Source organism: Homo sapiens, chromosome 16 (genome assembly GCF_000001405.40).
Source record: "Homo sapiens chromosome 16, GRCh38.p14 Primary Assembly".
Taxonomy (NCBI): Eukaryota; Metazoa; Chordata; class Mammalia; order Primates; family Hominidae; genus Homo; species Homo sapiens.
The window spans coordinates 50,167,096-50,179,796 of record NC_000016.10 but is presented as its reverse complement, the minus strand read 5'-3'; the positions used below and the strand labels follow the sequence as shown (position 1 = coordinate 50,179,796).

At 41.8% G+C, this 12,701-nt stretch overlaps 1 protein-coding gene across 10 annotated transcripts in view, besides 1 other annotated feature; it reads right to left on the bottom strand.

The window, feature by feature from the left end:
• TENT4B (terminal nucleotidyltransferase 4B) overlaps positions 1-12,701 on the bottom strand; it is an 82,400-nt gene that overhangs the window by 55,514 nt on the left and 14,185 nt on the right. The gene's annotated exons all lie outside the window — the stretch shown is intronic.
• Positions 9,852-10,052: a silencer, noted in NCBI's record as "peak2589 fragment used in MPRA reporter construct". NCBI's record gives its function as "represses an SCP1 promoter by STARR-seq MPRAs in K562 erythroleukemia cells {active_cell/tissue: K562}" and the evidence as "EXISTENCE:reporter gene assay evidence [ECO:0000049][PMID:32103011]".

Sequence of the window (12,701 nt, the reverse complement as noted above, 5' to 3'; positions counted from 1 at the left end):
GGCTAAGAAACCCTGGATTCAGGTAAAGATAAAGTCACTATACTAACAGCAGAACTTGGTAATGTCACTTAACTTCTCTGAGGCTCAAGTTATTAATTTTTTAAAAAAGGATTGGAGTAAATCACCTCTGAAGATCCTTTGATCTCAAACACCTTGATGATTTCTAACCATGTTGTAACAAATCGGTCAAATGAATAAGCAGAGTGGTCCTTACAGTAATGCATGAATATCTTCTGCAAATATCAGATTAACCTCATATATACAATTTTGGGCTTATTTACATAAAAATCCTACTCCTCACCACACCATAAGAAATCTTAACTGAACATTAGTGTGTTCTATCAAGTCAATTACAAATGAAAATTAAACTGGTCACATAAGCCCCAAAGTAAATATAAACATTTGGGATAAAGTAAAAAAAAAAAATTTTCTTTTGAGACGGAGTTGCGCTTTGTTGCCCAGGCTGGAGTGCAATGGCAAGATCTCGGCTCACTGCAACCTCCACCACCCGGGTTCAAGCGATTCTCCTGCCTCAGCCTCCCAAGTAGCTGGGATTACAGGCATGCGCCACCACACCTGGCTAATTTTGTATTTTTAGTAGAGACGGGGTTTCTCCATGTTGGTCAGGCTGGTCTCAAACTCCTGACCTCAGGTGATCCACCCGCCTCGGTCTCCCAAAGTGCTGGGATTACAGGTGTGAGCCACCGCACCCGGCTGGAATAAAGTAAATTTTTAAAGTAACTCTTTAACCTTTTCACTGTCAACACCATCCTGATGTTTTTTATAATTTTTTTCCATCTGTAAAAATTGTTGTAAAACATATGTAACATAAAATGTACCATTTTAATCATTTTTAGGTGTACAGTTCAGTGGTATTAAGTACATTCACACTGTTGTGCAATCCTCACCACCATCCACCTCCATAACTTTTTAATCTTTTCCAAATGAAACTCTGTACCCATTAAACATGAATTCCTCATTCCCTCCTCCCCACAGGCCCTGGCAAGCATTATTCTAATTACTGAATTACTGTTTCTATGACTCTTATATTCCAGATACCTCATATAAGTGCAATCATGCAATATTTGTCCTTTTGTGTCTGGCTTTTCTCATTTAGCATAATGATCTGAACGTTCATCCATGTTACAGCAGTGTCAGCATTTTCTTATTTTTAAAGGCTGAATAATAGTAGCCCATTGTATTCATACACCACATATTATCTATTCATCCATTGATGGACACTTGGGTTGCATCATTCTGATTTTTTTTTTAACCATCAGTAGTTATTTTGAAGTCACATACAAAAAAGATGAATGAACTTTATGTCATCAACTTTTTTTTTCTTTTCAAGAGAGAACAAAATTTCACTCTGTTGCCCAGGCTGGAGTACAGTGGTGCGATCATGGCTCATGTAGCCTCAACCTCCAGGGCTCAAGCAATCCTCCCACTTCAGCCATATACAGGTATATGCCACCATACCCAACTAATATTTTAAAAATTTGTTGTGCAAGTGAAGTCTCTATATGTTGCCCAGGCTGGTCTCAAACTCCTGACCTCAAGTGATCCTCCCACTTACGCCTCCCAAAGTGCTGGAGTACAGGCATAAGCCACTGCACCTGGCCAGCTTTTCTTTAAAAAAAAAAAAAAAAAAAAAGTAGACCACCTTGAGCCACAAAGAGCACCTTAACAAATTGAAAAGAATAGAAAGCATACAAGGTATGCTCTCAGACCACATGTAATTAAACTAGAAATCAACAGCAGAAAGATAGCCAGAAAAATCCCAAAATACATACTTGGAGATTAAACAATACACTTCTAAATAACAGATGGGTCAAAGAAGTCTCAAGAGATATTTCTAACTAAATGAAAATGAAAATATGACATCAAAATTTGTAAGATATAGAGAAAGCAGTGCTTACAGGAAATTGTACAGTGTTAACTGTAAACATTAGAAAAAAGATCTAAAAATCAATAATCTCAGTTTTCACTTAAAAACTTAGTTTTCTAGAAAAACTAAAAAAAATTAAATCCAAAGTGAGCAGAAGAAAACCAATTAGAGCAGAAATCAATTAAATTGAAAACAAAATTAATAGAGAAAAATCAGTGAAACCAAAAACTGGTTCTTTGAAAAGATCAACAAAATTGATAAGCTTCTAGCCAGATTAACAAAGAAAAAAAAGGGCAAAGACACAAATTACTAATAGAAAAAATGAAAAAGGGCCATCACTTCTGAACCTATGGACACCAAAAGCAAAACAAAGAAATATTATGAAGGACTCTAATCCCACAAATTTGATAACCTAGATGAAATGGAACAATTTCTTGAAAGACACAATGTATTAAAACTTACCCAAGAAGAAAAGACAATCTCAATGCACCTTTATCTATTAAGGAAATTGAATCAATAATCAATAACCTTCTAAAGCAAAAGGCACCAGGCCCAGATGGGTTCACTGGTGAATTCTACCAAACTGTTAAATTAGATATTATCTCGGGCCAGGCACAGTGACTCACGCCTGTAATCCCAGCACATTGGGAGGACAAGACAGGTGGATCACCTGAGATCAGAAGTTCAAGACCAGCCTGGCCCACATAGTGAAACCCCATCTCTACTAAAAATACAAAAATTAGCCAGGCATGGTGGTGCATGCCTGTAATTCTAGCTACTCAGGAGACTGAGGCAGGAGAATCACTTGAACCTGGGAGGCAGAGGTTGCAGTGAACCAAGATTGCGCCACTACACTCCAGCCTAGGCGACAGAGCAAGATTCCATCTCAAAAAAAAAAAAATAGATATTACCTCAATTCTCTTTCAGAAACAGAAGCAGAGGAAATATTTCCTAACCTATTCTATGAGGCCAGCATTACCCTAAACCAGACAGAAAAGAAACCAAAGAAAACTACAGAACAATACCTCTCATGAACACAGATACACAAATGCTAAATAAAATACTAGCAAACTGAATCTAACAATATACGTAAAGAATTATAGGCCAGGCACAGTGGCTCACTCCTGTAATCCCAACACTTTGGGAGGCCAAGGCGGGTGGATCACTTGAGGTCAGGAGTTTGAGACCAGCCTGGCCAATATGGTGAAACCCCATCTCTACTAAAAATACAAAAATTATCTGGGCGTGGTGGTGCATGCCTGTAGTCCCAGCTGCTCAGGAGGCTGAGGCAGGAGAATTACTTGAACCCGGGAGGCAGAGGTTGCAGTGAGATGAGATTGCACCGCTGCACTCCAGCCTGGGCGACAGAGCAAGACTCCATCTCAAAAAAAAAAAAAAAAAAAAAAAAAAAAAAGAATTATTGGTATATATGGTTGACACTGGAACAACACAGGTTGGATCTACATATGTCCACTTATATGTGGATTTTTTTTTCAATAAAACTTGGATTACAAATAAATTGTAGGCTGGGCGTAGTGGTTCATGCCTGTAATCGCAGCACTTTGGGAGACGGAGGCGGGCAGATCATATGAGCTCAGGAGTTTGAGACCAGGCTGAGAAAAAGAAAGATTCAATCTCTAAAAAAATTTAAAAACTTAGCTGGGTGTGGTCATGGGCACCCATAATCCCAGCTGCTTGGGAGGCTGAGGTGGGAGGACAGCTTGAGTCCAGGAGGCAGAGGTTGCAGTGAGCTGTGATCATGCCACTGCACTCCAGCCTGGGCAACAGAGTAAGACTGTCTCAAAAAAAAAAAAAAGAATTATATTGGCTGGGCTGAGTGCCTCATGTCTGTAATCCCAACACTTTGGGAGGCCAAGGTAGGAGGGGCATTTCAGCCCAGGAGTTCAAGACCAGCCTGGGCAACATGGTAAAACCCTGTCTCTAAAATAAATTTAAAAAGTACCTGGTCAGAGTGGTGCTCACCTGTAGTCCCAGCTACTCAGGAGGCTGAAGCAAGAAGATAACTTGACCCTAGGAGGTCAAGGCTGCAACGAAGCCTTGATGGTGTCACTATACTGCAGCCTGGGCAACAGAACAAGACCCTGTTTCAAATAAATAAATAAATAAAACAAAAAAACTGGCCGGACGTGGTGGCTCATGCCTGTAATCTCAGCACTTTGGGAGGCTGAGGCGGGCGGATCACGAGGTCAAGAGATCAAGACCATCCTGGCCAACATGGTGCAACCCCGTCTCTACTCAAAATACAAAAATTAGCTGGGCGTGGTGTCATGTGCTACTCGGGAGGCTGAGGCAGGAGAATCCCTTGAACCAGGGAGTCAGAGGTTGCAGTGAGCCGAGATCGCGCCACTGCACTTCAGCCTGGCGACAAAGCGAGACTCCATCTCAAAAAAAGAGAGAATCCAGACATAGATCTTATATCTTTCACATAAAAATTAACTTAAAATAGATCACAGACCTAAATGTAAAACAAAAACTATAAAACTCCTGTAAGATAATATAAGGGGAACTCTAGATGACTGTGGTTTGGCGAAGACTTTCTAGACACAATACCAAAAGCAAAATCCATCAAAGAAAGAATTGGTAAACTGGACTGCACTAAAATGTATAATGTGTGCTCTGCAAAAGACACTATTTAAGAGAATGAAAAGATAAGTCACGGACTCGGAAAAAATATTTGCAAAACACGTATCTAATAAAAGACTTATTATCCAAAATATACAAAGAAGCCAGACCCAGAAAGAGAAATATTACATGTTCTTACTCATATGTGGGAGCTAAAAAAAAGTTGATCTCATAGAAGTAGAGAGTAGAATGATAGATACCAGAGGCTAAGAAAAGAGTAAGAGGGGCCAGGCATGGTGGCTCACCCCTGTAATCCCGGCACTTTGGGAGGCTGAGGCGGGTGGATCAGGAGGTCAAGAGTTCAAGACCAGTCTGGCTAAGATGGTGAAACCCCATCTCTACTAAAAATATAAAAATTAGTCGGGTGTGGTAGCATTCGCCTGTAATCCCAGCTACTCGGGAGGCTGAGGCAGAGAATTGCTTAAACCTGGGAGGCGGAAGCTGCAGTGAGTCGAGATTGTGCCACTGTACTCTAGCCTGGGTAACAGAGCGACTCCGTATCAAAAAAAAAAAAAAAAAAAAAGAGTAGGGGAGACGGGGAGCTGATGAAGAATGGTTGGTTAAGGGGTAAAAAAAATAAAGCCAGGTAGAAAGAATAAGTTCTAATGTTTGACAGCACAATGAGGTGACTTATAGATAATAATTTATTGTATATTTCAAAATAGCTAGACATTTTGAAATGTTCCCAACATAAAGAAATGACAAATGTTTGAGGTAATACTCTAATTACCTTGATTTGATCCACATTGTATGCATGTATCAAAATATCACATGCATCCCATAAATATGTACAATTATTTTATTAAGTATTAATTTTAAAAGAATCAAAAAATACACATATACAAAGAACTCTTAAAACTTAACAATAAGCCGGGCATGGTGGCTCACGCCTGTAATCTCATTACTTTGGGAGGCAAAGGTGGGTGGATCACTGAAGACCAGGAGTCCAAGACCAGCCTGGCCAACATGGCAAAACCCTGTCCCTACTATAAATACAAAAATTAGCCAGGTGCAGTGGCACATGCTTGTAATCCCAGCTATTTGGGAGGCTAAGGCACAAGAATCACTTGAACCCAGGAAGCAGAGGTCGCAGTGAGCTGAGATCATGCCACTGCATTCCAGACTGGGCGACAGAGCAAGACTCTGTCTCAAAAAAAGCAAACAAAAAGAACCCCAGAAGCAATAAAAGAACAATCTGATTAAAAAATGGGCAAAAGATCAGAACAGATACTTTGCCAAATAACATATACACATATCAAATAAGCAGATGAAAGCCAGGCGCAGTGGCTCACGCCTGTAATCCCAGCACTTTGGGAGGCCGAGGCGGGCAGATCACCTAAGGTCAGGAGTTCAAGACCAGCCTGGCCAACATGGTGAAATCCTGTCTCTACTAAAAATACAAAAACTAGCCGGGCATGGTGGCGGGCGCCTGTAATCCCAGCTACCTGGGGAGCTGAGGCAGGAGAATCACTTGAACCCAGGAGGCAGAGGTTGCAGTGAGCCAAGATTGTACCATTGCACTCCAGCCTGGGCAATAGAGCGAGATTCCATTTCAATGAACAACACAACAACAACAACAACAAATAAGCAGATGAAAAGATGCTCAACATCATACGTCATTAGAGAACTGCAAAGTAAGACAAGATATCACTACATATCTATTAGAATGGTGAAAAGCCAAAACACTGACAACACCAAATGCTAACGAGGATGTGGAGCGACAGGAACTTGATTCATTGCTGGTGGGAATGCAAAATGGTACAGTCACCCTGAAAGACAGTTTGGCAGTTTCTTACAAAACTAAACATACTCTTACCATACGATCCAACAATCGTGCTCCTTGGTATTTATCCAAATGAGCTAAAAACATGACCACACAAAAACCTACACACAGATGTTTATAGTAACTTCATGCATAATTGCCAAAACTTAGGAGCAACCAAAATGTCCTTCAGAAGGTGAATAGATAAACTCATACACCTATACAATGGAGTATTATTCAGCAGTACAAAAAAAAGAGCTGGCAGGGCAGGGTGGCTCACGCCTGTAATCCCAGCACTTTGGGAGGCCGAGGTGGGTGGATCACCTGAGGACAGGTGTTTGAGACCAGCCTGACCAATATGGTAAAACCCCACCTTTACCAAAAATACAAACATTAGCCAGGCAGGGGAGGTATGCGCCTGTAGTCCAAGCTACTTGGGAGGCTGAGACAGGAGAATTGCTTGAACCCAGGAGGCGGAGAGTTTGCAGTGAGCCAAGATTGCGCCACTGCACTCCAGCCTGGGCGAGAGCGAGACTCCATCTCAAAAAAAAGAAAAGAGCTATCAAGCCAGGAAGGAACATGGAAAGAAGCCAATCTGTATGATTCCAACTATATGACATTCTGTAAAAGGTAAAACTATAGAGACTGTAAAAGGATCAGTGGTTATCAGGGGTTCAGGTAGATGGAGGGATGAAAAGGTGGAACAAAGGGGATTTTTAGGGCAGTGAAACTACTCAATATGATACTATAATGCTAGATACATGTCATGATATATTTGCCAACACTCATAGAAACTGCAACACCAAGAGTGAACTCTAAAGTAAATTACGGACCTTAGTTAACAGTAATGTATCAATATTTGGCTCTTCAGTTGTAACAAATGTACCACACTATTTCAAGATGCTAGTAATGGGGAAATGTGAGGGAGATAGAGAAACTATGTACTCCTGCTCAATTTTTCCATAAACCTAAAACTGCTAAAAAAAAAAAAAAAAGTAATAAATTCTATTAAAATATATAGTCAACCCTCCATATACTCAGGGGATTGGTTTCAGGAATCCCCTTGTTTACCAAGAACTATGCATACTCCAGTCTCCCAGTCAGCACACCGTACAGGTGGGTTTCATGTCCTGTAAGTACAATTTTTTTTTTTCTCTTGGAGACAGAGTCTCGCTCTGTCACCCAGTCTGGAGTCCAGTGGCACAATCGTAGCTCACTGCAACCTCTGCCTCCCAATTCTCCTGCCTCAGTTTAGCAAGCAGCTGGGATTACAGGCATGCACCACCTATGCCTGGTTAATTTCTGTACTTCTGTTTAGTAGAGGTGGGGTTCTACCATGTTAGCCAGGTTGGTCTCAAACTCCTGGCTTCAACTGATCTGCCTGCCTTGGCCTCTCAAAGTTCTGGGATTATAGGCATGAGCCACTATACCTGGCCTACACTGTATTTTTATTTATTTATTTTTGAGACAGAGTCTTGCTCTGTCACACAGGCTAGAGTGTGGTGGTGCAATCTTGGCTCACTGCAACCTCCACCCCGTTGGCTCACTGCAACCTCTGCTGCGTTAGCTCACTGCAACCTCTGCTGCGTTAGCTCACTGCAACCTCCACCTCCCGGGTTCAAGCAATTCTCTGGCTTCAGCCTCCTGAGTAGCTGGGATTACAAGTGCACACCACCACACCCAGCTATTTTTTGTATTTTTAGTAGGCACATGGTTTCACCACATTGGCCAGGCTGGTCTCAAACTCCTGACCTCAGCTGATCCGCCTGCCTTGGGCTCCCAAAGTGCTAGGCTTACAGGCATAAGTCACTGTGCCTGGCCTACAACTATATTTTTAATCCAAGTTTGGTTGAAAAAAAATCCACATATAAGTGGACCCATACAGATCCAGCCTGTGTTGTACAAATATCAACCGTATATGCCTTGGGCAAGAAAAACTGAGAAGGAGCTTCTAAATAGAAAAATCCATGACTATCTGGGAGACCAAGGCCCTTATTAGGACGAAATAGCCCCCTCATCTGTGATCCCTTGATACTGACTTAGCAAGAACCACCATGTTTCCCAGCTTCCATTCTCCACTAATCCACTTTCCCCACCACAGCCAGAGTTACTTCTCACTCTGTTGCCCAGGCTGTTGTGCAGTGGCATGATCACAGCTCACTGCAGCCTCAACTTCCTAGGCTCAAGCGATCCTTGCACTTCAGCCTCCCAAGTAACCGGGACTACAGGTGCATGCCACCACACCTGGCTATTTTTTGTATTTTTTGTAGAGTTAGGATTTTGCTATGGTTTCCAGGCTGGTCTCAAACTCCTGGGCTCAAGCAACCCTCCTGCCTCAGCCTCCCAAAGTATTAGGATTACAGGCATGAGCCTGGCACAGAGTGACTTTTAAAAACATGAATTCTGAGACTAGGCACAGTGGGTCAAACCTGTAACCCCAGCACTCTGGGAGGCTAAGGTAGGAGGACGGCTTGAGGCCTGGAGTTTGGGAATAGCCCAGGAAACAAAGTGAGATCCTGTCACTACAATTAAAAAAAAAAAAACACTGGGCACAGTGGCTCATGCCTATAATCCCAGCACTCTGGGAGGCAGGTGGATCACCTGAGGTCAGGAGTTTGAGACTAGCCTAGCCAACATGGTGAAACCCCATCTCTACTAAAAATACAAAAATGAGCCAGGCATGATGGCCCGCACCTGTAGTCCCAGCTACTCAGGAGGCTGAGGCAGTAAAATCACTTGAACCCAGGAGGTGGAGGTTGTGGTGAACCGAGATCATGCTGCTGCACTCCAGCCTGGATGACAGGGTGAGACTCCATCTCAAAGAAAAAAAAAAAATCCCTATCTTGCCCAGGCCTGAGAGATAGCTTTGTCTACTGACTTCCCCAGGAACAACTGCAAACTCCTAAGGTAGCTGTGACCTAGAGGCTGAGTGCGGCTCATCTTCTGGAGCCTTCCCTTACAGGGGCCATACTGCCATTTCTTTAACGCTGCTGCTACCATGCTTGTTACATAGTTTTTACATGTAAATGATGACTTTTAAAATATTTGATTGGGGGATATCTTGGGGGAATCACTGGACAAATTCACTCCCAGTAGGAAATCTTCCTATAAGGAAGGCTGTATGGGTTATGCTAGCCTGAGGGCAGGAATGATTCACATGAAGGTTAAGAATATTAGCACAAGTTGCCCAGGTGTGGTGGCTCACGCCTGTAATCCCAGCACTTTGGGAGACCGAGGCAGGCAGATCGTGAGGTCAGGAGTTCAAGTCCAGCCTGGCCAACATAGTGAAACCCCATCTCTGCTAAAAATACAAAAAATTAGCCAGGCGTGGTGGCAGGCGCCTGTAATCCCAGCTACTCGGGAGGCTGAGGTTGCAGTGAGCGGAGATTGCACCACTGCACTCCAGCCTGGGAGACAGTGTGAGACTCCATCTCAAAAAAAAAAAGAATATTAGCACAAGTTGAAGAAACATATAATTCACGTTTCACTTCAAGGGAAAGCAAGCATCTTACTCCTGCTTACTGAATTTAGGCTGAGAGAACTTTGTCTACTGAGCAGAAGTTCACAGGTCATAGGTCTGTTCTGGTTTCCTTCAGCTACCAACAGCTAAAAGCAAAGGCCAGGTATGGCTTCTGACAAAGGTCTTCCTTGACAGTCTTGGCTACTGACCAAAAGCCCAGTAGAGTTCACTACAGGGAGGATTAACTTCCCTTCATGCATGCACGCATGGGGCACCAATCATCCCAAGCCCACTTCACTTTCCTGTGACCTGCCTTGCTTCTCTTTGCCTGGGGTGACAGCTCATTAACAGACCCAGTTAGAAACTATTTCCTTTTTCACCCTTAGCCTGCTTTCCCTATAAGAAGCAAACCCTCAAGACAACCAAGTAGCTTGAAGAGGAAAGCCTTCTCCTTTTAGAAGCATTCCAGCTAACAACAGAAAAAGCATCAAGAGACTATCATAAACTTACAATCCAAATAATGAATTAATAAATATAGGCAGTAATCATTAATAACTAATACCACAAAAAGACATTAAGATATGTGTCTTCTGAGAGATGTACACACCACCATTTATGATGCATTTTTGCAAAAAAAAAAAAAAAAAAAAAAAAAACCCACAAAATCTAAACAAATCTCTAGATCTAGTTACAAATTTACAGAAAATACAGGGGAAAAAGGGATCATAGTAAACTGATACCAGAGGAATATAACCAGCAAAATCCAGAGAGTAGGAAAGTCCACAGGAAACAACGCTTGGTTTCTTCAACAAATAAATATGGGGGAAAAGAGACAGCAGAGAAATCTATAAATTAAGATTTAAAATGTACCTCAAACAATGCTTTGAAATAATCTTGTTTGGATTTTGATTTGAGCAAACTTTTAAAAATTATTATGGGACAATGGAGGAAATATGAACATTGGATATTTGATACGGCAAATGAATTATTTATTGCTCACTTCTTTTAGGTATTAATAATGGTGTTACGATTATGCCTTCTTTTAAGTCCTTATCTAAAGATACACAAAGAACTATTTATATGAAATTATATGATATTGGCTGGGTGCAGTGGCTCAAGCCTGTAATCCCAGCACTTTGGGAGGCCGAAGTGGACGGACCACCTGAGGCCAGGAGTTCAAGACCAGCCTGGCCAACATGTTGAAACCCCATCTCTACTAAAAATACAAAAACTAGCCAGGTGTGGTGGTGCGTGCCTGTAATCCCAGCTACTCAGGAGACTGAGGCAGGAGAATCGCTTGAACCTAGGAGGCAGAAGGTACAGTAAGCACAGGTCACGCCACAGCATTCCAGCCTGGGTGACAGAGCGAGACTCTGTCTCAAAAAAAAGAAATTATGTGATATGGAATTTGTTTCAAAATAATGTGGGAGGTCCAGGCACGGTGGCTCACAACTGTAATCCCAGCACTTTGGGAGGCCAAGGTGGGTGGATCAACTGAGGTGAGGAGTTTGAGACCAGTCTGGCCAACATGATGAAACCGAGTCTCTACTAAAAATACAAAAAAAAAAAAAAAAAATTAGCTGGGTGTGGTGGTGGGCACCTGTAATCCCAGCTACTCAGGAAGCTGAGGCAGAAGAATCTCTTGAAACCAGGAGGCAGAGGCTGCAGTAAGCCAAGATCATGCCACTGCACTCCAGCCTGGGCAAGAAGAGCAAAACTCCATCTCAAAAAAAAGAGAAAAGAAATTGTATATATTTGCAAAATCTCTTACAAATTAATAAGAAAAAGACAAACAACTCCAAAAGAAAAATGAACAAAGGCAGTAATTCAAAAGAAAAATAAATAGCTAAAGAATGTAAAGACATATGCAAATTGTCAGTAAATACTACAAAATTGGCAAAACTGTTTCCTTCTGCATTCTTTTTTTTTTTTAATTATTTTTTATGGAGATAGGGTCTCACGACATTGCTCAATGAGGAAACAAGAGTCATTTCAACAAATGGTTCTGGGACAACTGGATACCCACAGGCAAAGGAATGAAATGGGACCTCTACCTCACACCATATTTTAAAAATGAACTCAAAACAGGCTGGGCGTGGTGGCTCATGCCTGTAATCCCAGCACTTGGGGAGGCCGAGATGAGAGGATTGCTTGAGCCCAGGAGTTCAAGACCAACCTGACAAACATGGTGAAGCCCCCTCTTTACTAAAAATACAAAAATTAGCCAGGCTTGGTGGTGCACGCCTGTAATCCGAGCTACTCGGGTGCTGAAGCATGAGAATTGCTTGAACCGAGGAGGCAGAGGGTGCAGTAAGCCAAGATCACACCACTGCACTCCAGCCTGGGCGACAGAGCAAGACTGTCTCAACAACAACAAAAAAACCTCAAAATGTATCAAAGACCTAAATACAAGAGCTAAAACTATAAAACTCATAGAAGGAAACAAAGTTCACAAGTAAATCTTCAGCATTCTGGATTTAGCAACAGTTTCTTACGTATGACAAGCAACCAAAGAAAAAAAAATAGACAAATTAGACATCATTGAAACAAAACTTTGTGCTTTAAAAGACATTATCAAGAAAATGAAAAGATTAAAGCTTTTAATCAGTTTAATTATTTAAGAAAAAAAAAAACCTAAAAGAAAGTAAAAAAAAAAAACCCACAGCATGCGATAAATATCTACAAACCATCCATCTGATAAGGGTCTAGCATTTAGAACAAGCTCATCCAACCCACGGCCAGAGGCCCACGATGGCTTTGAATGTGGCCCAACATAAACTTGTAAACTTTCTTAAAACATTATGAGATGTTTTGGTAATTCTTTTTTTAGCTCATCAGCTGTCATTACTGTTAGTGTATTTTATGTGTGGCCCAAGACAATTCTTCTTCTTCTAATGTGGCCCAGGGAAGTCAAAAGATTGGACACCCCGATCTAGAATATAAAGAAC